The sequence below is a fragment of the Homo sapiens genome, chromosome 8 (genome assembly GCF_000001405.40).
Source record: "Homo sapiens chromosome 8, GRCh38.p14 Primary Assembly".
NCBI classification, from domain to species: domain Eukaryota; kingdom Metazoa; phylum Chordata; class Mammalia; order Primates; family Hominidae; genus Homo; species Homo sapiens.
In genome coordinates, this window is record NC_000008.11 from 122,987,239 (window position 1) to 123,013,115 (window position 25,877).

Sequence of the window (25,877 nt, forward strand, 5' to 3'; positions counted from 1 at the left end):
TCCTCATTGATCCATAATGAAGGGATGAAATGTCATGAGAAATATAAAATTTACCTTTAAATATTTAAAATATTTCAGAAAAAAATGATGGAAGATTAGTAATGGTTAAATCTAGGTAATGAGTATACAGGTGTTTCTTACAGTATTCTCTTTGCCATTCTGTACACCTGAAAATTTTCATAATACAAAATTCCAATAAAGCAGTTTGCTAACATAAACACAGTGCAATTATCAAATTCAGGAAATTATCGTTGCTGCAATTATCTTATGTACAGCCTATATTCCAATTTTGCCAATTGTCTAGTACTGCCTTTATGCCAACTTTTTATTTCCAGGATCCAATTCTGAGTCACGTTTTGCATTTACTCGTCATGTTTCTCTGCTTTCCTCCAGTCTGAAACAGTCTCTTGACCTATCTTTGTTTCTCATGGCCCTGACATTTTTAAAGAATAAGGCTCACTGTTTTGTAGAATGTCCCTTAATTTGCAATTATATGGTTGTATCCTCAGGATTTGGTTCCCAAATACTACAGGACTTTTGCAGGAGTACTACATGTAGTGACCTTCTCTCTTTTTTTTGAGACAGTTTCACTCTTGTTGCCCAGGCTGGAGTGCAGTGGTACGATCTCAGCTCACTGCAACCTCCTCCTCCTGGGTTCAAGCCATTGTCCTGCCTCATCCTCCTGAGTAGCTGGGATGGCAGGTGCCTGCCACCATGTTGACTAATTTTTGTATTTTTAGTAGAGATGGGGTCTCACCATGTTGGCCAGGCTGGTTTCGAACTCCTGACCTCAGGTGATCCACCCACCTCAGCCCCCCAAAGTGCTGGGATTCAGGCGTGAGCCACCACTCCCAGCCTGTTGTGACCTTCTCAGTACAACACGTCAGGAGGTACCACATGTCAGTTTGTCCTATTATTGATGATGTTGATCTTGGCTGTTTGGTGGAAGTGGTTTCTGTCGTATTTCTCCAATGTAAAGACACCTCTTTTTCTCCTCTGTAAATGATCAGTCATCTGTGGCAGCTTTGAGACTATGTAAACATCCTGTTCCCCAACATTTCACCCAATGGTTTTGGCACCCACTGATGATGCTTGCCTGAATCATTAGTACTTCGATGGCTGCAGAACAGTGATTTTCTAGCTTAATCTTTCCTTCTACATATATTGGTTGGAAATGGGCCTTCCAAAGTGTTTGCAAATAAGATTTAACGAGCCTAAAGTCTGGAGACGGTGGGATTGCCTGGTTGGATATGAAGATGGATAACATCTTCATATCAATAGGTATGAAGATTATTTTTTATAAAAACGGCATCCTGCCATGCTCACTGTTTTATAACCTGCTCCTTTCATTTAATGAGACCTTTCCATTGTATAAACAGGCCATGATTTGTTTAACCAATCCCTTACAGGCAGACACACAAGTCTTTTTCAATTTTCTTGCTACTGTAATCTTTATTTATTCTTCTTTTCCCATTTATCTGATTGTTTCCTTAGGATAAATTGGAGAGATAAATTTGACTTCCAAGATCAAAGCCAAATCAGAAGGATTCAAGTCCTGCTTGAGTCATAGGCAGCAGTGTTGGACAGCCTCTTGTTTTTCCTTATCCGTGTCTTATTCCTGCAGCCAGAATGAAGCTTGTTAGGAGACTGCCTCCCTGCCTGACTGAGCTGACTGTGTACCAAGCGTGAAAGCCAGGTTTCAACTAATGACTCACACCAACTATTGCCAATAAAAATGATGTAAGACTCCAGGTAGGCACATTGACATTTTCTAGACATGAATGTTAGAGCCCACGTGGTCCAATATCCTGTCTCCAAGAAGCCAGAAAGAAAAAAAAACATGAAGAATGGAAGGATTTAGAAGCCACTCCGCCTAGGGATAGGGAAGGAGATGGCCCGGAGATGCTGCACAGGGTTAGACAGCGCGATGGGGTAATACAAACACAAACTTTGCAGGCAGGTGATTCAAATCCTGTAATTTGGAGCAAGTGACTTCACCTCTTTCAGCCTTGGTTTTCTCGAGTGTAAAATGGGAAGATAATGCCTACATCATAGAGTTTTGAATTGGATAACAAGTCCCGTGGCTGGGCGCAGTGGCTTACGCCTGTAATCCCAACACTTTGGGAAGCCAAGGTGAGTGGATCACCTGAGGTCAGGAGTTCGAGACCAGCCTGGCCAACATGGTGAAACCCCATCTCTACTAAAAATACAAAAATTAGCCAGGCATGGGCGCCTGTAATCCCAGCTACTCGGGAGGCTGAGACAGAATTGCTTGAACCCAGGAGGTGGAGGTTGTAGTAAGCCAAGATGGTGCCACTGCACTACAGCCTGGATGAAGAGTGAGACTGCATCTAAAAATATATATATATTTTATATTTATATATATATTATATATGTATATTATATATAATATATAAAAATATGTTATATAATATATATGTTATATATAACATAGATATGTTATATAACATAGAGATGTTATATGTTATATATAACATAGAGATGTTATATATAACATAGAGATGTTATATGTTATATATAACATAGAGATGTTATATAACATAGATATGTTATGTTATATATAACATAGATATGTTATATAACATAGAGATGTTATATGTTATATATAACATAGATATGTTATATAACAGATATGTTATATAACATAGATATGTTATATAACATAGATATGTTATATATGTGTTATATAACATAGATAGGTTATATAAACAGATGTTATATATCATATATGTTATGTAACATATCTATGTTATATATCATGTTATGTAACATATGTTACATATATAACATGTAACATATATATGATATATGTTTTATATAGCGTATGGAACATATATGATATATATGTTTTATATAGCGTATGGAACATATATGATATATATGTTATATATAGCATATGGAACATATATGATATATATGTTATATATAGCATATGTAACATATATGATATATTATATGTTATACATAGCATATGTAACATATATGATATATGTTATACATGTTATATATACATATATATGTTATATGACATATATGTTATATATGTGTTTTATAACATTATGTTATATAACATATATGTTATATATAATATATGTTTTATAACATGTTATATAACATATATATGTTATATAATATATATTATATATACATATTATGTATGTATATAAAACGCACTGATATAGTGCTCTTCAGTTAAGAGTCCCAAGAGCAAATGTTATTCACCACAGGTGACTCGACTGAAGAGACTCCATTACAGGGACATCTTAGATGGTGTGGCAGAGTTAAGAGAACAGGCAAGGGGTGCAGAGGCACCCAGAGACTAGTGACAGTAGGAAGCCATTGTCACCTCTAGGGCTGAAGGAACGAGCAGAGGGAAGATGTTATCAGAACCCAGAAAGAGCGAGAGCCATAGAAGGAGGACCACTTAGCTGGAATTGTAGTTGTAGTTGCTGCTGGTGAAACAGCATCAAAGCAAAAAGAAAATGAAGAAATGCCCAGTGCTCTCTCTCCTCCTGCCCTCCAATCCCTTTCTAGGGCCTCCCAAGGCCAAGTTCATCCAGAAACCAGCTGACAAGGAATGCAGGGTGATGCAGACCCATCCAGATTCAGGTTCCTGTTTAACTGGCATGGCATCAGGGACACTGACTGCCTTCAGCAGCACACACAGCAGAAACCAGTCATCCTCCAAGGCTGTGGCAGAACAGGGTTCCCAGAGAAGCTATAGCATGAGAAAGGCAAAAACTTAAATGGTCTCAAGTGGATTCCAGCCAGAAACACAGGTAAACAAGCCATCAATTCAGGGACACCAAAAGGCGTTAAAATTCATTTAAATTCATCTAACTCAGCCACTCTTGTTTTAGAGATGAAAGAAGAGCAATTCAGCATGAGTAACTAATTTACCTAAGGTCATCTTCTACTTAGTTACAAATCCAGGACAAGAACTGAAATATTTTGATTCCACAATCAGCTTTTTTCCCTATAACCCTTAGTATTGCAAGCATAGATCAGAGTGAGTTGGTTTTTGCTAGAGCCATCAGTGCACTTGTTCCTAAAGCTGCTAAGCCAAAAAGGGTTAATTGTCCCTTGTAAACTTTGCCTGACATAAGCTATAGGAAACCAGAGTAGACTTGTCTTTTGTTGGCTCAAGCAAGTAAGAGGTGCGGTCTACAGATCTCAAGGAATAACGAAGGAGAAATCCGCTCCAATTTCAAGTTAAAATTAACAGCCCAAGTTCAAAGTGAAACTTGGTAAGGAGAAATGAAGCTGAGCATCCTTAAAGGTGGTGGTGGTTGCTTGTTGGTGTCATTGCTGGTCTGCTCATTTCATTTCTCTGTCACTGCAAATTGCAGCCAGGTTTCTTGACATTTATTGAGCACCTACCATATATTCAGCTCTGTGCTATATGCTGGGGATACCAAGATAAATAGGATTCCCGTCCTTGAAACATTCCTCTGCCTATTTCTTTATTCTCTCCCTCTCAACACATGTACATATACACACAAAAAGTCAACCCCAATAAGCACTTACATCTTTCTACTGATGACGGAAGCATCACTGGCATGAGTTTGCATCACATCCAATTATTTTTACAACGATTACCTATAGAGATGAGCCTGTGTGTCTTCATCCTGCAGGGCACGGAGATTATCACTCCTTCCTCTCATTCCCCTTAGCGCTTTATATAGACCTATGTTATCACATTTATCATCCTGTCTCCTCCATCAGAGTCCCCAAGGGCAGAAGTCACATCCTGGTTATCTTGTAGCCCCAGTACCCTAGTGCACTGCTTGGCACATAGTAGGTGCTCAATACATGTTTATTGATTACCTGGTGAGTGGATGAATTGTTGAATGAATAGATTATAAAAACATGGATGGATGCGTGAATGATCAGATGAGTAGGTAGATGAGTGGATACACAGATGTTTAGGTGAGTCAATGTGTGGAAAATATTTGAGTGGATGGATAGTTGGACGTTGGGTGCATGGATGGATGGATAAATGAATGGGTAGATAGATGGATGTTTGGATGGATAAGTAAATGGACGGGTAGATAGGTGAGTTGTTGGTGAATGCATAGATGGATAAATGATTTTAAAGATATTTATCTGGCCGGGTGTGATGGCTCAAGCCTGTAATCCCAGTACTTTAGGAGGCCAAAGTGGGTGGATCACCCAAGGTCATGAGTTTGAGACCAGCCTAACCAACATGGTTGAAACCCTGTTTCTACTAAAAATACAAAAATTAGCTGGGCATGGTGGCACATGCCTGTAATCCCAGCTGAGGCACAAGAAGCGCTTGAACCCAGGAGGCAGAGGTTACAGTGAGCCGAGATCATGCCACTGCACTCCAGCCTGGGCAACTTAGAATAATATCTACCCTACCTACCTCCTAAAATAATGCCATCCTAAGTAAGAGGTTATAATAACTGCATAGTGTGGTGAGAAAAAAGTGTTAGGATCAAAATCCCTGAGTCCTACCTTGGCCAAAATTTCCCTACCAATTTTGCCTCTTAGTAGCTGTGTATATAATAACTTGAACAAATTCTTTTTTTTTTAATTATGCTTTAAGTTCTAGGGTACGTGTGCACAATGTGCAGGTTTGTTACATATGTATACATGTGCCATGTTGGTTTGCTGCACCCATTAATTCGTCATTTATGTTAGGTATTTCTCCTAATGTTATCCCTCCCCCATCCCCCCACCCCACGAAAGGCCCCGATGTGTGATGTTCCCCGCCCTGTGTCCAAGTGTTCTCATTGTTCAATTCCCACCTATGAGTGAGAACATGCGGTGTTTGGTTTTCTGTCCTTGTGATAGTTTGCTGAGAATGATGGTTTCCAGCTTCATCCATGTCCCTACAAAGGAAATGAACTCATCCTTTTTTATGGCTGCGTAATATTCCATGGTGTATACGTGCCACATGTTCTTAATCCAGTCTATCATTGATGGACATTTGGGTGGTTCCAAGTCTTTGCTATTGTGAATAGTGCCACAATAAACATACGTGTGCATGTGTCTTAATAGTAGCATGATTTATAATCCTTTGGGTATATACCCAATAATGGGATCTCTGGGTCAAATGGTATTTCTAGTTCTAGATCTTTGAAGAATTACCACACTGTCTTCCACAATGGTTGAACTAGTTTACACTCCCACCAACAGTGTAAAAGCATCCCTGTTTCTCCACATCCTCTCCAGCACCTGTTGTTTCCTGACTTTTTAATGATCGCCATTCTAACTGGTGTGAGATGGTATCTCATTGTGGTTTTGATTTGCATTTTTCTGATGGCCAGTGATGATGAGCATTTTCTCATGTGTCTGTTGGCTGCATAAATGTCTTCTTTTGAAAAGCGTCTGTTCATATCCTTTGCCCACTTTTTGATGGGGTTGTTTGATTTTTTCTTGTAAATTTGTTTAAGTAAATTGTAAATTTCTTGGAAATTGTAAATTTCTTATAAATTTGTAAAGTAAATTTGTAATTTGTAGATTCTTAATATTACCCATTTGTCAGATGAGTAGATTGCAAAAATTTTCTCCCATTCTATAGGTTGCCTGTTCTCTCTGATGGTAGTTTCTTTTGCTGTGCAGAAGCTCTTTAGTTTAATTAGATCCCATTTGTCTATTTCGGCTTTTGTTGCCATTGCTTTTGGTGTTTTAGTCATGAAGTCCTTGCCCATGCCTATGTCCTGAATGGTAATGCCTAGGATTTCTTCTAGGGCTTTTATGGTTTTAGGTCTAACACTTAAGTCTTTAATCCATCTTGAATTAATTTTTGTATAAGGTGTAAGGAAGGGATCCAGTTTCAGCTTTCTACATATGGCTAGCCAGCTTTCCCAGCACCATTTATTAAATAGGGAATCCTTCCCCATTTGTTGCTTTTGTCTAACTTGAACAAATTCTTAACCTCTGTGGGCTACCTTCTGTTCAGTTCTAAAATGAAGGTGATACAGTAGACACTACCCTAAAAAATCTGGTGGTTATTGTGATAATTAAATGAGATAATGTACTAATAGATGTGGTAGTGCTTTGTCACAGCAAGCAATTATGGTGATGAGAATGGTGACAATGATGGATAATATAGGTGGTTGTCATCTGGCCAGTGTCCATAAGGTAGAAATATAGTGTCTTTCCCATTGAGCTTTGCCATTCTAGACCCAAATCCTCCAGCCTCAGCATTCCCAGTTCCCTAGACTAGAGGTGGTCCCACCTACTGCAAGCACTTCATCTTTCTCCTTCCCAGGATTCGGTCATTGTCTGCAGCAGCTGTGCCTGTGGGACCTGAGCCCGCTGTTACGAAGGAAAGCATGGGGATGACTCAGGGAGGGTACATCAGAGCAGTGTGGGTGGAAAAGCCTTCACTGATGAGTTACTTTCTGAAGTACTCTTGTATTTATTTTCTTAGATATCTGAGAAACACATCTGCAGTGCCAAAACATTCATTCAATACTTACTTAATGAATGCCTTCTTTGTGTCAAGCACTGTAATTGCTGGGGAAACAAAATTGAATGATACTTGCTCCTACCCTCAATTGACCCTGCTGGTCTGTGCCTTCAGGAGGTTGTAGGCATTCCAGGACTTAGTCCAGTTACCCAGGGCCCAGCACAATGTCAGAACATGACAGGTGCTCAGTTCACTTCTGTTGAACTGATGGATGTTAGTCTAATGGGGGAAGCAGGGAAGTTATCAACAACTTTAGAGAAAACTGGGAAAACAGAGGGAGAGAGCACGTACTGCAAAACAGAGCTCATGATCAGCTCCCTAGGGGAGATGGCACCTAAGCTGAGTTCTGAGACAAACAAGAATAAACCACAAGAAAAATTAGGTGGGAGGGGACAGAGGTTGGCAGAAAGCCATCTGATGCAAACTTAGCTTTTCCTGTCTTCTGGCTTTCTCTTCTACTTAACTTCCACCTGCCTCTCCCTGCACAGTGGATGAGGGTTTTGTTCTCCAATGGGAAAATAAGCTTCACTAAATACCACAGAAACATCACTGTGAAGCCTGCTCTGGTCTCCTGTATGGAGGGCAGGTGGGAAATGACGGTGGGCCTCCCTGCAGGCTTGACAAGCCAAGAAGAAAGGGGGCATCAGATGCCGACAAGGAGCAGGGACCAGAGAGCAAGAGAAGGTGGAGAGACTGCGGGCAGAAGCAGCTCCCATTCCTGCACGCACTCTGTGAGGAACACAGGGCCAGGGGCAGAGTCCACAGAGTCCCAGAAACAGCCTCTCCTCTGGGCTCAGGTTAACATTGGACAAAGGCACCGAGCCTTACGTGCCTAGGATTTCAGAGCAGGTGACGCAGCCACTTTTGACACCTGGTGCCTGTAAATCAGCCTGGAGCTGGGCTCAGGGCCAGCTGCATCTCTCCTGGAGCAGAGCATGTGCTCCTCACTGCTCAGGACAAATCCAAACCCCTCAGTATAACATGAGTGGCCTCCACCTACCCTCCAGCTCCATCTCTACCCACTTCTCAGCCTTCATCTACACTTGCCTCCAGTTCCCCAAACACCCCATTTCTCTTCCTCCAGACCTCTGCGTGGCTGTCCTCTCCACCTCAGACACTCCCCCAGCCCTGCTCCTTCAGATGGCTGATGCCTGCTCCTCTTCTAGGTCTCAGCTTAGAAATCTCTGCTTACAGAAGTGCCCATGATTCCACCTGCAGGTCCAAATGAGCTGCCTCTCCTTCACGCTCCCGTCGCATCCTCTGTCTCCTCTTCAATGCCCCTCACACTGAATGTTAATTGCCTCAATACGTGCCCTGTCCCCCACTAGGGCTCCCTCCGGGCAGAAGCCAAGTCTTTTTCATCCTTACATCCCCAGCACCTAGAGCAATGACAGGCCCGTGTGAATGTGCCAGGCTAAAGGAGCAAATGAATGTTCTCCCTCTTACGGGGGCCACTGAGGGATCAACTGATCAGGACAGAGAGGAACCAAGGCTGCACCTCAGTCTTTCTTTGGGGGGCCAAGAGTACTCCCTATACACGGAAAACCATGCCCTTATATTCACAAAGGGCTTTCACAAACCTGTCTATTCCGCTTTCCCACCACCCCCGAGGTAGGTATCAGTCTGTGCATTTTACAGATGGGGAACCTGTGGCCCAGAGAGGCCAGGTATGCTGCCCAAGCATGCACATTGGGAGATGGCAGAGACTGCTGGCCCCTGGGGCTGCCTGCCTCCAAGCTCAGCACTATTCTTCCTGGCTCCTTTGCTCTCCCATCACAGGGCTCAGACTTCTGGGATCACTGAGTGGAGCCCGCTAGCCAGAGATTGGAACACACAGTTGCTGCTCAGAGCCCTCCAGTGACAGGTTAACCACTCCACAAGGGACCCTGAGGGGCTGTCTGATCTGCCTCCTTAGTGTGGTGTGAGATGCTCAATTCTCCCACAGCCCTCCACACACACATATATCTAAACCTGCACCCCATGGCTCTCGGGATGCCCGTGGGTATCAGTCCATGTCCATTAGGAAAACAGGATGGGGATGATGACAGAGAATTCCTTACAAGTATCAGGAGGGCTGAAGCAGCAAGTGGAGAAAAGTGGCATTGGCCAGAGACCATAAGCGCCACTGATGCTGCTGCCAGGGGAGTGACTGTGACTTCTACATTCTTCCCCATTTCTGATATCATTGCATACAGGTGTCTTTATCTTATTTTATTTTAGGTAAGGTCTGGCTCTGTTGCCCAGGCATGTACAGTGGCACGATCTCGGCTCACTGCAACTTCCTCCTCCAGGATTCAAGCAATCCTCCCGCCTCAGCCCCACAAGTAGCTGGGACTACAGGCGCACACCACCACTCCCAGCTAATTTTTGTATTTTTTGTAGAGATGGGGTTTTGCTATGTTGCCCAGACTAGTCTTGAACTCCTGAGCTCAAGTGATCCACCTGCCTTGGCTTCCCAAAGTGCTGGGATTACAGATGTGAGCCACCACACCAACTCAGTGCCTTTCATTTGCAAAAAGTAACTGGAACCCAACTGAGAAGGGAGTCTAGAAGACACAGTTTCTCAGTGGCAATGGTACAGAAAAAAAGGATTAAAGGGCAGGTATGGAGCTGAACACCAACAGACAACAACTGACACAGCATTAGGGCCACTAGAGCTTAAGGTGATATCCCCAATAGGCCCTTGTTAATAAACATACGCACCATGGACCTTCGTCATGTTTTCTAGCTGTGCTGCACCTTTTTACAGTCTTCATACACTTGAGGCCTTCTTGCCTTCTATCCCAAATGGAGGCTATGATTTCACTTTGCCAGCCTCCCTTGCAGCTAGGAGTAGGCATCAGCTCCACAAATCAAGCACACAAGCAGGAGCTGCTGGAATGAAAATGAGCACGTGAGGAAAGAAGCACCATGCAACATCCGTGTTCTGGGAGGTGGCTGTGGCTGCAAAGCTGTGTTCTTGCTGGAGAAGGGGTGGTGGGACTGGGGCAGCATTCACATCTCAGTCCCATTGAGTCCCTGGTGCAAAAGTGGTCATGAGGGTACAACTATTCCATTTAATACTCAGTGGTGGCAGTTTCTTCATCAGATCAATTCTGCAGCAGAGTTATGAGTCTGATTCTCCAGCCTTCCCAGTGATTCTGAGTTACCCAAAAATCTTTTTAAACAAACATTAAAACTAAAGTATAATGTCTTTACAGAAAAGTAGGCACATCATGAGTATACAGCTCAATACATTTTCATACAATCATCACACATGTCAATAAGCAGAACATTACCAGTACCCCAGATATGCACCCACACTGGCCTCTTTCAGTAACTCTCTAAATGTAATCACTAATGTAACTTCTAATGCCTTAGACTTATTTTGCCTATTCTTGAATTTCATATAAATGGAATCATGCAGTATATGGTATACTCTTTTACAGATGGCTTATTTCACTCAACATTATGTTTCTGCTACTTGCCAGTGTTGCTATCAGTGGCAGTACTTTGTTCATATTCATAACTGTATAGTATTCCACTGTATGAGTAAGCTGCAATTTACCCATCCGATTGTTGTCGGACATTGGGTTATTTCTATTTAGCCTTATTACAAATAATGCTGCTATTTGCATTCTTATACATGTCCTTTTTGTACATTAGATTGCTGGGCAGCCACGTGAGGGGAGGCAAAACTGGGGCTAATTCAGATTTTTTTTTTTTACTTTAAGTTCTGGGATACATGTGCAGAAGGTGCAGGTTTGTTACATAGGTATACATGTGCCATGGTGGTTTACTGCACCTATCAACCCATCATATAGGTTTTTAAGCTCCACATACATTAGGTATGTGTCCTAATGCTATCCCTCCCCTTGCCTCCCACACCCTGAAAGGCCCCGGTGTGGGATGTTCCCCTCCCTGTGTCCATGTGTTCTCATTGTTCAACTCCCACTTGTGAGTGAGAACATGCAGTGTTTGGTTTTCTGTTCCTGTGTTAGTTTGCTGAGAATTATGGCTTCCAGCTGCATCCATGTCCTTGCAAAGGACATGATCTCATTCTTTTTTTATGGCTGCATAGTATTCCATGGTGTATATGTGCCACATTTTCTTTATCCAGTCTATTACTGATGGGCATTAGGGTTGGTTGCAAGTGTTTGCTATTGTAATTAGTGCTGCAATAAACATACGTGTGCATGTGTCTTTATAGTAGAATGATTTATAATCCCTTGGGTATATAACCAGTAATGGGATTGCTGGATCAAATGGTATTTCTGGTTCTTGATCCTTTAGGAATCACCACACTGTCTTCCACAATGGTTGAACTAATTTACACTCCCACCAACAGTGTAAAAACATTCCTATTTCTCCACAGCCTCACCAGCATCTATTGTTTCCTGGCTTTTTAATAATTGCCATCTGACTAGCATGAGATGGTATCTCATTGATTTGCATTTCTCTAATGATCAGTGATGATGAGCTTTTTTCCATATGTTTTTTGGCCGCATAAATGTCTTCTTTTGAGAAGTGTCTGTTCATATCATTTGCCTATGTTTTGATGGGCTTATTTGTTCATTTGTTTTTTATAAATTTGTTTAAATTCCTCGTAGATTTTGGATATTAGACCTTTGTCAGTGGGTCAATTGCAAAAATTTTCTCCCGTTCTGTAGGTTGCCTGTTCACTCTGATGCTAGTTTCTTTTGCTGTGCAGAAGCTCTTTAGTTTAATTAGATCCCACTTGTCTATTTTGGCTTTGGTTGCAATTGTTTTTGGTGTTTTAGTCATAAAGTCTTTGCCCATGCCTATGCCCTGAATGGTATTACCTAGGTTTTCTTCTAGGGTTTTTATGGTTTTGGGTTTTACATTTAAGTCTTTAATCCATCTTGAGTTAATTTTTGTATAAGATGTAAGGAAGGGGTCCAGTATCAGTTTTCTGCATGTGGCTAGCCAGTTTTCCCAGCACCATTTATTAAATAGGGGATCCTTTACCCATTGCTTGTTTTTCTCAGGTTTATCGAAGATCAGATGGTTGTAGATGTATGGTATTATTTCTGAGGCCTCTGTTCTGTTCCATCAGTCTATATATCTGTTTTTGTAGCAGCACCATGCTGTTTTGGTACTGTAGCCTTGTAGTATAGTTTAAAGTCAGGTAACATGATGCCTCCAGCTTTATTCTTTTTGCTTAGGATTGTCTTGGCTATATGGGCTCTTTTTTGGTTCCACACAAAATTTAAAGTAGTTTTTTCTAATTCTACAAAGAAACTTAGGAAATTTTAGGGAAAAAAAGGTGATTTGGGGACAAATGTTTCCTCAAACTGGCTTTAAAGCAAGTAGAGGCTGAGTGCAGTGGCTCATGCCTGCAATCCCAGCACTTTGGGAGACCAATCACTTGAGCCTAAGAGTTTGAGACTAGCCTGGCCAACATGGGGAAACCCCATCTGTATAAAAAATACAAAAAATTACCCAGGGGTGGTGGCACACACTTGTAGTCCAGGAGGCTGAGGTGGGCGAATCATCTGGGTCCAGGAGATCAAGTCTGCAGTAAACCATGATCATGCCACTGCACTGCAGCCTGGGGAAGAGAGTGGGACCCTAGCAGAAAGAAAAGGGAAGGGGAGGGGAGGGGAGGGAAGGGAAGGGAAGGGAAGGGAAGGGAAGGGAAGGGAAGGGAAGGAGGGAGGGGCCGGGTGCAGTGGCTCACACCTGTAATCCCAGCACTTTGGGAGGCCAAGGCAGGTGGATCACTTGAGGTCAGGAGTTTGAGACCAGTCTGGCCAACATGGTGAATCTCCATCTCTACTAAAAATACAAAAATAAGCCAGTCGTAGCGGTGCGTGTCTGTAATCCCAGCTGCTCGGGAGGCTGAGGCAGGAGAGTAGCTTGAACCCAGGAGGTGGAGGTTGCAGTGAGCCGAGATAGTGCCACTGCACTCCAGCCTGGGCTACAAAGCCAGACTCCATCAAAAAAGAAAGAAGGGGAGAGGAGGGGAGGGGAGGGGAGGGGAGAGAAAGAATCATTTCTCACAGTGGCCTTGGAGGCTGCTTCCCTGGGCCCACAGCATCCCCTACAATTAACGCCACATGCAGGTCAGGCTGGTGGTGAGTGAGGCCACTGGTCCTTCGCTGCCCTGGGACGAGGCAGAGTAAGCAGAGGCACTGCCTCCTTAAGCCTCAGTTCCCTCATCTGCAACAACCACACCAACCTCATAGGCTGCTGTGGGAATCCAGCTGATGACTGGTCTGAGGAAAGGGGAAGGAGGCAAAGAAACTAATGTGCTGGGAATGGTCTGTGCCAAATGCTTCCCAGCACTAGCTCGCTGAGTTCTCACGGGAATCTTACGAGGTGGTTCCCCTCCTGCTAGAGTTGAGGAAGCTGAGGCTGACCGAGGTTTAATAGCCTGCTGGAAGTTACAGAGCTGGCAAAGAGCAGTGTCCACGTCACCCAGGTCTATCGGACTTCCCAGGCCACTCTGAAGAGAGAAGGTCAGGGTTTAGTTTCTGGAACTACCTGGCTAGGGGAGCCCCTGGCTGCCCCTGAGCTCAACCCTCACAGGGTGACTGTGAGGACTGAATGAGTTCCTGGTTGTGAAGGGAAGGAGAACTAACATTTCTGAGGAGAGTCCAGTGATTTACACGTATGACCTGATTTAATTCTCACAGTAGCCTTGTAGGTGGGAGCTGTGCTTCCCATTTGGAAGTGAGGGCTGGATTGTTTCCTTCTAATTCTGGCTTTCCGGGTGTGTTATGAATGTGTAACACAGAAGACCCAGAGGGAATCCAGCCCCTAGCTGCCCTCACCCTTCCTGGAGTTTGAGTTCCTGGCCAGAAAAAGGCAGCCCCATCAGAATCACCCCGCGAAGTGGATGAGGAGGCTTGGTCGACCTGCCTTAAGGCCAGCCCTCAACTCATAACATTGTCTTTGTTCATACACACAGACACACACACACACATGCATACACACATATAGGCACACAGGCACATACGCACACATGCACACACAGAGATGCACAGGCATACACACACACACACGTATGCACACAAATACACATGCACGCACACACAGGCACATAAAAACACACATACACACACACAGGCACACAGGCGCACAAACACAGGCAAACATGCATGCACACACACACATGCACACACAGGCGCACAGGCGCACACAGGCACACACACGCATGCACACACAGGCATACAGGCGTACAAAAACACACGCATGCACACACACGCATGCACGCACACATATACATACACACATGTGCACCCAGCACAGCAAGCTTCCCTCCCAACTCCCCACCACCTGCTATCAAGAAAGCCATTGTCAAATACTCGAAATGCTAAAAGACTGCGTTTTTATTTTTCAAGGGCCCATTCCTAATCACAAGAGGCCACTTAGTCTGAGTGGGGCCCAGTAATGTTGATTAATGATTATGTATTTCTCATGAGAGTTGGGAACTCAACTTGTCTCTCGCCTCAGCACCCTCCCAGGGTGCACCATTAATCAGGATCGGCCACGGGTGGAGTTAGAGCAGTGACCATTAACCTTTTGGCAAGAGCGTGCCAGGTCCCCAGCATGGGAGCACCCCGGGTCCCCTCTGCAGTGGCCCCACTCCCGGCCCCTCCCACAAAGGGCCGGGGTGGGGAGTGAGGGAGCTTCCACCCCCTCCAGCTGCCTGCCTCTCCCCACGAGGACTTGAATATTAATAAGATCCTGCACTCCTCCAGATAGTTCATCTTAATGATTTTTAAGGGTTTTTCCTTAATTCCCTTTCTCTGTGTGACAGATACAAAAATTATTAATGAGTGAATGTTCCCAGCTTCTCCCACACACACTGTCTCTACAGGAAATTCGATCCTTGCGTATTCTGTGTCCCCCACAGGCCCCACTTCCTTCTGAGGAGAGCTCCCTTCTGGCCAGGCCTATTTCAAGTTTGAGGGATGAAGAATCCACACAATGGGGCTGACAGTGACCAAACTAGAGGTGAGGAAGTAGCAGGTAAAGGGAGAGAAAAGCTCAAATTCAAAAATTTGGGTGTGGGGAAGAGTTTTCTTGGAGGTGAGGAGTCAGGGGCTCTAGCACAGCCTCAGGTGTGAGGGTAAAATGAAACAAAGCAGAATGAGAATTTTAGGAAAACCAGACCACAAAATATTACATTGGTGCAAAAGTCATTGCAGTTTTTGCCACGTGATACTTGCATCCTCAGTTCATATCACCACTTTGGAAAGCTGATAGCTTCTACTACGGCTGAACATGTTGATACTCTGTGACCCCGCAATCCCCACTTCTAGGAATTAGGTACAATTAGTATATCCCCGTCAGATATGCATCCATATTCTCACTAAAGATGTATTCTAGAATGTTCATAGCGGCACTATTCGTTATATCTTAAAACTACCCAGCCAGGCGCAGTGGCTCACGCCTGTAATCCCAGCAATTTGGGAGGTCGAGGAGGATGGATCACCTGAGGTCAGGAGTTTGAGACCAGCCTGGCCAACATGGTGAAACCCCGTCTCTACTAAAAATATGAAAAAAAAATGAGCCGGGTGTGGTGACGCACACCTTTAATCCCAGCTACTCAGGAGGCTGAGGCAGGAGAATTGCTTGAACTCGGGAGGCGGAGGCTGCAGTGAGCTGAGATCACGCCATTGCACTCCAGCCTGGGCTACAGAGCAAGACTCCGTATCAAAAAACAAACAAACAAAACAAAAAAACACAACAAACTACCCAAATGCGCATCAATGGTAGAATGGATAAATAATGTCATATTCAAACCATAAAAGATGATACAGCAACAAGAATGAAAACACTGCAATTACATACAACAATGTGGATGGTTCCCACAAACATGATGTTCAATATTAACAAAAGAAGCCAAACACAAAAGAATATATATGGTATGAGTCCTTTTGTAGAATATTTAAAAACTAATCTATATGGGTACAAGTCAGGATAGGTGCTCACTTGGGGGGTTGATGATTGGAAGGGGGTTCAAGAGGCTTCTTCGGGGCTGATAATGTCACCTATTCTTTTTCCTGAGATGGAGTCTCGCTCTGTCACCCGGGCTGGAATGCAATGACACGATCTTGGGTCAATGCAACCCCTGCCTCCCAGGTTCAAGTGATTCTCCTGCCTCAGCCTCCTGAGTAGCTGGGATTACAGGTGCTCACCACCACACCTGGCTAATTTTTGTATTTTTAGTAGAGACGGGGCTTCACCATGTTGGCCAGGCTGGTCTTGAACTCCTGACCTCAAGTGATCCACCCGCCTCGGCCTCCCAAAGTGCTGGGATTACAGGCATGAGCCACCACACCTGGCCAATGTCACCTATTCTGATCAGGGTGCTAGTCGTACATGTGTGCTCTCTGTAAAAATTCATCAAGCTGCTGATCTGTTCGTTATACTTCTCCAAGTAAAGATGTGAATTGTTGTATAATTGGTTTTGTTGGCTGGGCTGTATTTATGTGAATGTGATACTGTGCTGGAACAATACTTTGTGTTTGCCAAACTCAATTTTCCTCCTATGCATGCAGAAAGACTTAGGTTTCTGGGCTTCCCTGTGGTTAGTGGGACCATGTGATGAGTGCTGTTAAATAGCATGTGGGCAGAAATGATGTATGCTGCTTTCAGCCTGGCCCCTTCAATCTCCTGCACAATCCTCCACTTAATCTTTCTCATTCTGTTCACTACCTGCAAAAAAGTCAGTGGAGACTCTGAGGTCCTGGGAGATGATGGAGCAATTGATAGTTCTTATTACAGCACACAAGAATTTAAAAATAATTCTCTGCAATAAATGAAAGGAGAGCTGGGCATGGTGGTTCACACCTGTAATCCCAGCATTTTGGGAGGATGAGGCAGGTGCATCACTTGAGCCCGTGAGTTCAAGACCAGCCTGGCCAATATTGTGAAACCCCATCTCTACTAAAATTCAAATAATTAACCGGCGTGGTGGCATGTGCCTGTAGTCCCAGCTATTTGGGAGGCTGATGCAGGAGGATTAATTGAGCCCGGGAGGTCAAGGCTACAATGAGCCATGATCATGCCACTGCATTCCAGCCTGGGCAAAAGAGCAAGACCCTGTCTCAAAAAAAAAAAAAAAGAAAGAAAAATGAAAGGAGCCTGAGTCCCTGAATAACTGCATGGAGCAGAGAGAGCCCCCTCCTGATCGCACCACCCCACCTGCCTATCCACATTGGACTGTGATTGATTGATTGATTGATTGATTGTGATTGATTGATTGATTGTGAAACAGAGTCTCGCTCTGTCACTCAGGCTGGAGTGCGGTGGCACGATCTCAGCTCACTGCAACCTCTGCCTCCCGGGTTTGAGCGATCCTCCCTCCTCAGCCTCTTGCATAGCTGGGATTACAGCCACGAGCTGCCACGCCCCACTAATTTTTGTATTTTTAGTAGAGAGGGGGTTTCATCATGTTGGCCAGTCTGAGCTCAAACTCCTGGCCTCAAGTGATCTGCCTGCCTTGGCCTCTCAAAGTGCTGGGATTACAGGTGTGAGCCACCATGACCAGCTTTGGACTCTGATTTAAACAAGAAATATATCTCTGTTGTAATATGCAATGGAGAGGGGATTTTTTGTTATAGTTATTGCCTAACTTGACTATCTGACTAATACCTAATATGCCTGACTTGGGTCCTGGGTCTCCAAGTGGAACCTTCTCTGTCTCATAAATGGGAATGGAAGTGAACATTCTTAGGGAGAAATACATATTCCTTACTCCTTGGGTTTCCAAAGAGAGGCAATTTCCTAAAAAGATAAAGTAAATAAGAAGTTCTTTTTTTTTTTTGTCCCAAGGGGAGGCAATGGGTGAGTAGATGAAAGAACCAAGCTCAGACTGTATAAAGCCATCTGGGCCTCTGGAAGCTGCCTTCTCTGCTTTTCCCCAGGGTGAGCCTGCTGCAGTACACACTGTCCTTGCCTAGCTGTGCCAGTGGCCAGGAAAGTCTTTCAAATTCTGGGGTTCAGTCTTAGAAAGTCCACATGGCTACACCCCTAAGTTATTATCTTCCAATCCAGCCTTTCTCAGAAATAGCACTAACATTTTTATCTATCTAATAATTGTGCTTATCTCAGTTGATTCCAAACTCAGAAAAAAAGGGGGATTTATTGACTCCCAAAAAACCAACAAAGACTAGGAAAGACGCTGTTCCCTGCAGCAGAGGCCCAGAAACTAGGACACATTAGAAAGAATCCTTTTTTTTTAAGAGACAGGGTCTTGCTATGTTGCCCAGGCTAAAGTTCAGTGGCTGTTCACAGGTGCAGTCATACGACACTGCGGCTTCAAACTCTGGGCTCACGCAATCCTCCCGCTTCAGCTTCCTAAGTAGCTTGGACAATGGGTGCACAACACCACACCCAGCTTGAAAGAATCCTTTTTAACAACAGAAGTCAGGAACGTTTCACAGGATTTGTTAAAGAACAGGGGCATAAAGCGACTGAAATGAGGGTTGGGATGGAGTTGAAACAGCACTAGCCATGACCCCTCTATTCCTTCCCAATTTAGATCAGCTTCACTTGTCTTTTACCTGTTAGGATTTAAAATTTCATTCAAGCAAAGAATACTGTGTCTAAAAATAGTTTGAAAATCTCTGATTTAGATCATCTTTTTGGTACCCTCTGGCCTAAAGGATCTTTGCACTTATATAAGAAATCCAAAATTTTATTTTTGCAATGTTTTGCCAATGACAGTGGTCTGTAACAAAAGTAGACCAATACTGGGATGTACAGAGAAGCCTAATGGTCAGCTTCTAAATTAGTTAAAGCTTCTTCAGGGAGCAAAGAAGAGATGCATCCAGGCTATCTTAGGTGGTGGAGTGATGGTGCTCAACCTTTTTTTAAAAATTTTTTTAAATTTTATTTTTAATCTATTTATTTATTTTGAGACCGGATTTTGAGACTGGCTAATTTTTGTATTTTTAGTAGAGACAGGGTTTCACCATGTTGGCCAGGCTGGTCTCGAACTCCTGGCCTCAAGTGATCCACCCACCTCGGCCTCCCAAAGTGCTGGGATTACAGGCGTGAGCCACCGTGCCCACCCATGCATGTTTCTGTGCTGGGCAGAGCCTGAATGGCTCACCTGAAGTGATGAAATGTGACTACCAATGTCCCTTGCCAGAGATAGAGTTGAGAGTGTGCCATGTCTGAAAGGCAGAAAGGGGCACGTTGCATTCAAGGAGCTGAGAGAAGATGGTGAGGAGGTTATACACTACTTTAAGGGGTGTATTAGTTTCCTAGGCTGCTGTAGCAAATTACCACAAACTTGATGATGTAAAACAATAGAAATTGTTCTACAGTTCTGGAGTTCTCCAGTTCTGGAGACCAGAAGTCTGAGCTCAAGGTGTCAGCAAGACCACACGTCCTCCAAAGGCTCAAGGGAAGAGTCTGTGCCTTGCCTCTTCCAGCTTCCGGTGGCCCTGGGTGTTTGGCTTGCTTGGCTTGTGGCCACATCACTCCAATCTCTGCCTGCATGGCCACATCACCTTCTCCTTTCTACATGCCTATGTTTTCTCCTCTTCTGTCAAATCTCTAATAGGACACTTGTCAATGGACTCGGGCCCACCAGGATAATCCAGGGTGACCTCTTCATCTCAAAATCCTTACCTGAATGACATCTGCAAAGACCTTCCATTTTCCAAATAAGGTCACATTCATAGGTTCTGGGAATTAGGACATGTATATGTCTTTTTTTTTTTTTTTTTTTTTTTGACAGTATCTCACTCTTTCGCCCAGGCTGGAGTGCAGTGGCATGATCACAGCTTACTGCAGCCTTGACCTCCTGGGCTCAAGCAATCTCCCACCTCAGCCTCCTGAGTAGCTGGGACCACAGATGTGCACCACCACGCCTGGCTAATTTTTTGTATTTTTTGTAGAGCTGAGGTTTTGCCATGCTGCCCAGGCTGGTCTTGAACTCCTGAGCTCTAGTGACCTGCCCTCCTCGGCCTCCCAAAGTGATGGGATTACAGGCATGAGCCACTGTGCCCAGCCTATATATCATTCAACACATTAGAGAGGGTATAGCAGAATTTGAGTAGTAGGTACATAGGAAATAATCTTAATTTTTTTTTTTTTTTTTTTTTTTTTTTTTTTTTTTTTTTTTGAGATGGAGTCTCGCACTGTCGCCTGGGCTGGAGTGCAGTGACACGATCTCGGCTCGCTGCAACCTCTGCCTCCCAGGTTCAAACAATTCTCCTGCCTCAGCCTCCCAAGTAGCTAAGATTATAGGCACCCACCACCACGCCTGGCTAATTTTTTGTATTTTTAGTAGAGACGGGGTTTCACTATGTTGGCCAGGCTGGTCTCAAACTCCTGCTCCCGCCTTGGCCTTCCAAAGTGCTGGGATTACAGGCATGAGCCACCGCGCCCGACCCTTAATTTTTTTAAAATAAAATCCACCTGCTTCCCTGAACTAGAGTCTTGCTCTGTATCTGGTGAGGAACTCTGATGAGCCTTTCTATGGCGGGTAGGTCCGACTCGCTGCAAGGCTTTTGTTTGGCTGAGTATAGAGGTTTGGGGCCAGAGAGCTAAACTGACCAAGACATTAGAGGGAGAGGCCACATGGGGGAAGGATTTGGAGAAGAAAGGGAGGGAGCTAGTTGATAGCTAAAAGGAATTTAGGTTATAAAATGTATTCATTTCTTCAACAAATATTTATCTCAAAAAGCTCACTCATGCCAAGCTTTCTGCTAGGTGTTGAGGATGTGATGATGAATGGGACAGACACAGCACCTGCCCTCAAGCATGGGAAGTCCCTTTCCCTGTGATGTTCAATGTCAACGCTCTCCACCCTCTCCCCCAAAATCTTCAGCAAAGCACACATTGCTTGCAAATGCTCAGCAGACGAGCTAGACTGAGGAGACAGAAGGAAATACTGTCTTGTCCTGGGCTGGAAGGAAGCAAAGCCAGAGGCTCCTCACAGGAGGCCCAACATGTGGCTTGCATGCTCTAGTGGGCCAGGTAGGGCTCTTTAGGCAGCCAGCATCCGTTTCCTCCTTCTTATGGCAAGAGCACTTTGATTTGCTTTTGGAAAATTTCCTCTCTCCTGTTGAGGGTAGCCATAATGGGACTGTCAATCAAATGTTTTTCCCTGAATTCCTAGCCACAGGAGAGGCACCAGGTCCAAGCTGGGTCAGTGAGTCTTGGGAGTCAAATCCTAAAAGGGAGAGATACAAGAATAGAATCAAAGACGAAGCTGGTTTAGCCCAGCAAGGGATGTGATGAGATCAATGCCTACTGCCTGAATCCCTGGTCCCCCATCCATGTGAGGGTTCTCAGCAGGCCCTTAGAATCTGTGAGCTATTCTATATCCTTCCAACAAATTATCTTTTGCTTAACTTAGCGAGGGTCCTTTTCGGGTACCTGCAGTCAGAAAACCCTACCTGATGCCTGTGATCACGAAAAGTCCCAATCCCTCCTCCCCAGTAAGGGGTCTGGGCACCTCCAAGAGAAAACTGGCTTACAGCAAATGAGGGCCTGGCTGTGGAGACAGAGGCATCTTGTTACATCCTTAGAGCCTACTTCTACATCAAGTCGGTAATGATCAAAATCCAGAGGCTCCCTTAAGCTAACAGTGACTGCCCTTAACCAACAAGGACACTTAGAGGATCAGTGCAAGCCCTCAGGAAAAGGCCAACACACTGACAGAGAAAAGAGAGATCAGATTCATCTGGGTCAGGTTAAGGCTTCAAATGACACACTGAGCTCAGTAAACATTTCCCAAGCAATCCTTACGCCTTGCACCTAGATTTAATTCTGTACTCCCTGTGGGTCTCTCTGGCCGTGATGACATGGCAGGGGTTTCTCCTTCTCTCTAAATACATGTGGATTTGTACGAGCCACTGGGGAATTCCTTGGGGGAGAGAAAGCTAAATTTATACCTTCAATTAATCTTCCCAAGTGTTCTTGCCCGCCTTCACTCTGTACCAAGTCTCCTTTTGCCCAAATCACCCCAGTACTCATACCCATTAGCAGATTACACAGTGCAGATAGAAGCTGCTTTGCTGCTCATTTATTTTAAGTATTTTAATTTTGAGTCCATTCTTCCCATTATCTCTAACCTGTTCTAATATCCTGTTTCAGGGGATTATGATTCCCTTAGATGAACAACAAAAAAATCATTCAATGCTCCTGGGAGACTTGGCCATTATTAGCTCTCTCCCTAAGCAGGACAAATTCCTACACAGGCCAAATTTCAGTTCAGTGCAAGAAACACTTAAGCACCTGTATGTGGCAGGCCTGTGCTACGCACTGGGAAACAGCTGTAAATAAGATGCAGTCCCTGTCCTGAGGATGGTTACAAGCCATGGGAGGGATATTAAGCAAATGATCACAGGTGGAACAAGCGTCAAAGGCAGAGATCAGGGTGCCAGTGGCTACGTGAGAAGACATTTCACCTTGCCTGCAGGTCTAATAGCCCTCTCCTTGATGAAATGACATTTAAACTGGGCCCTAAATGCTGGTGATAGAATCAAGAGAATTGCTTCTTCTTCACTGGGGCCTTCTGCAAAGCTGTTCACATTTCAGGAAGACATCATATTTTAAAAGTTCATTTTCATTCAAGTTGATGGATTTGGAGCTCAATGTTTTTTCCACAGAAATATACTTACAAATAGTGGCTAGGTTTCCAGGTTAGGATGCCAGCACCTAATTATCTACAATGGCTGCAGCACCAACAGCCAGAAATAGCATTTTACCCAGCTTGTGTGTGAAACACAGATCCCAGCCCTGATCACCAATGGAAACCCCTTCGAGAAAGCCCTCCTTTTCCTCACTGAGTGCCAGCAATTCTCTGTCTGGGGGGAGGTCCCTCCAATCCAGTCCCCAATCCCACTGCCTTGGTTTAAACCAACTCTTCCCTTAAACCTGCATCACAGCAACCAACACAAAATGTGGTCACTATCTCATTTCTCCTCTTTCCAGCCTTCTCCCTCTACTCCCCACGGGGCAGCCAGCTACTTTTTTGTTTTTTTGTTTTGAGAGGAAGTTTCACTCTTGTTGCCCAGGCTGGAGTGCAGTGGTACGATCTCGGCTCACTGCAACCTCCGCCTTCCAGGTTCAAGCGATTCTCCTGCCTCAGCCTCCCGATTAGCTGGGATTACAGGCATCTGCCATCAGGCCCAGCTAATTTTTTGTGTTTTTAGTAGAGATGGGGTTTTGCCATGTTGGCCAGGCTGGTCTCGAACTCCTGATCTCAGGTGATCCACCAGCCTCGGCCTCCCAAAGTGCTGGAATTACAGGTGTGAGACAGCACACCTGGCTGCCAGCTACTTTTTAAAGACCAAACATGAAGGCCTTTCAATGTTCCCCACTGCCCGCAGATTGAAGTTCAAGCAATCACACAAAACGATTTTCCTGATACAAGCCCCAATCTATCTTCCCAACCCCTTTCCCTGCCACTCCCTACCTGTATTCTACAGGTCCAGGCACACGGTTCTCTCTTCCCAAGTTTCTGCTCTTGCTGCTGCTGTTTCTAAATCCACCTAGAACAAGTGGCTTCCTCCATCTTGACCAGAACTGTCCATCAATCTTTCAAGACCTAGCCTCTCATCCAAGAAATTTACTTCCTTTTATTCTGGTAGTTTGGTGAATTGTATTATAATGACTTGTTTGCTTATTAAACAAATATGAGTACCTACAATGGGCCAAGCTGACTGCCTCAGTAGAAAGGACGCATCGTGAAGACAGAGACATCGTCTATTTGCATCTGCTTTGGCTTCCTTCACTGAAAAGCCACAACAGAGTTGGGTTCATATCCTGTCTTTGGCACCTTCTAGCTTTTTTTTTTTTTTTTTTTTGATACGGAGTTTTGTTCTTGTTGCCTAGGCTGGAGTGCAATGGCACAATCTCGGCTCACCGCAACCTCCACCTCCTGGGTTCAAGTCATTCTCCTGCCTCAGCCTCCCGAGTAGCTGGAATTACAGGTATATGCCACCACGCACAGCTAATTTTTGTATTTTTAGTAGAGATGGGGTTTCTCCATGTTGGTCAGGCTGGTCTCGAACTCCCAACCTCAGAAGGTCCACCCACCTCAGCCTCCCAAAGAGCTGGGATTACAGGCGTGAGCCACCGTACCTGGCCGCTGCCTGATTTTAATCAAGGGACTTGAAGCTTAAGTTTCCTCATCTGGAAAATGGGGATAATACTATTTCACAAGTTTGTTTAAACACAAGTTCCCAAATCCAGCTGAACGTCAGAATCAACTTCAAAAGTATGTAGAATGGGAATGAGCCAAGATACCTGCATTTTTTTAAAATCTCAAGTTTAATGCTTATGTATAGCCAGATTTTAAAAACCGTAAATTGGAGGCTTTTTCATAAAGTACCTGGCACATTAATGCTCAGTGCCCAGGTGTGCCCCGAACACGGCGTTCCTACTGGAACAAGCAGAGTTGATGTGAGATAAGGGGACCGTACGGGAAGGAGCCTAGGTTTAAACCACACATATAAATCGTGGGAAAGGCTGGGCACCGTGGCTCAGGCCTGTAATCCCAGCACTTTGAGAGGCCGAGGCAGGTGACTTGCCTGAGCTCAGGAGTTTAAGACCAGCCTGGGCCACATGGTGAAACTCCATCTCGAACAAAAATACAAAAAATTAGCCGAGTGTGGTGGCACACACTTGTGGTCCCAGCTACTCAGGAGGCTGAGGTGGGAGGATCATCTGAACCTGGGAGGCAGAGGTTGCAGCGAGCCGAGATCATGCCACTACACTCCAACCTGGGTGACAGACTGAGATCCTGTCTCAAAAAAACAAAGAAAGAAGAGACAGAGAGGGAGAGAGGGAGAGAAAGAGGGAGGGACAGGGAGGGAAGGTGGGAGGGAGGGTTAAGAAAGAAGTAAACACAGGACATGGTATTCCTGGCCAATTCTGATCACCAGTCACTCTGGAAGGCAAACAAGTGAACTGCCAGTAAACCCATTTGCTCAGCCCAGCCTTCTAAGAAAAAAACAGTATAAAGTCCAGAAAGGAGTAACTTCTTTCAAAGGTTAGTTATTCAGAGTGTTAAGTTACTGCTGAAAGTGTAAGAGGGGCAGGGACCTCAGAAACAGAGTTGGCAATAAACGAAGATGTTGGCAACTGCAACATTGCCTATTATTAGATCCATGTCATTCAAAAGGTAGCTTAGAACACAATGATACTGGCAATGTGTCCTTCTAAATAAGCGGGATCTTTTTCTATTGCTTCAGTATTTCCCCAGTAATAGAAGAGGGACATACATACAACCTGCTTCCTGTCACCTCACCTTGTGATGAGTGAAGTTGGCCTGTCGAAGGCCCAAGATACAGACTGGGATGTTCACCCTCGAGGAAAAAAAAAAAAAAGGGCTCAGGAATGTCATGGCACCTGCTATCTAGTCTGTGTGTGCCTTATGAGGAAACAGGATTAAACTAATTTTATAAAGTTCCAGGGCTCAGATCCATGGGTAGAA

The 25,877-nt window shown here is 44.4% G+C and overlaps 1 long non-coding RNA gene across 1 annotated transcript in view, besides 1 other annotated feature; it reads left to right on the forward strand.

Annotated features, from left to right (window-relative positions):
- Nucleotides 935-2,134: an enhancer, noted in NCBI's record as "P300/CBP strongly-dependent group 1 enhancer chr8:124000413-124001612 (GRCh37/hg19 assembly coordinates)". NCBI's record gives its function as "activates an origin of replication core promoter dependent on BRD2, BRD4, P300/CBP, MED14 and CDK7 cofactors, with strong dependence on P300/CBP, by STARR-seq in HCT116 cells {active_cell/tissue: HCT116}" and the evidence as "EXISTENCE:reporter gene assay evidence [ECO:0000049][PMID:35650434]".
- LOC124902013 (uncharacterized) overlaps nucleotides 15,322-25,877 on the forward strand; it is a 28,197-nt gene continuing 17,641 nt past the window's right edge. The window contains exon 1 of the long non-coding RNA XR_007061083.1: nucleotides 15,322-15,424. This is a non-coding gene — a long non-coding RNA (uncharacterized LOC124902013). The remainder of the gene's footprint in view (nucleotides 15,425-25,877) is intronic.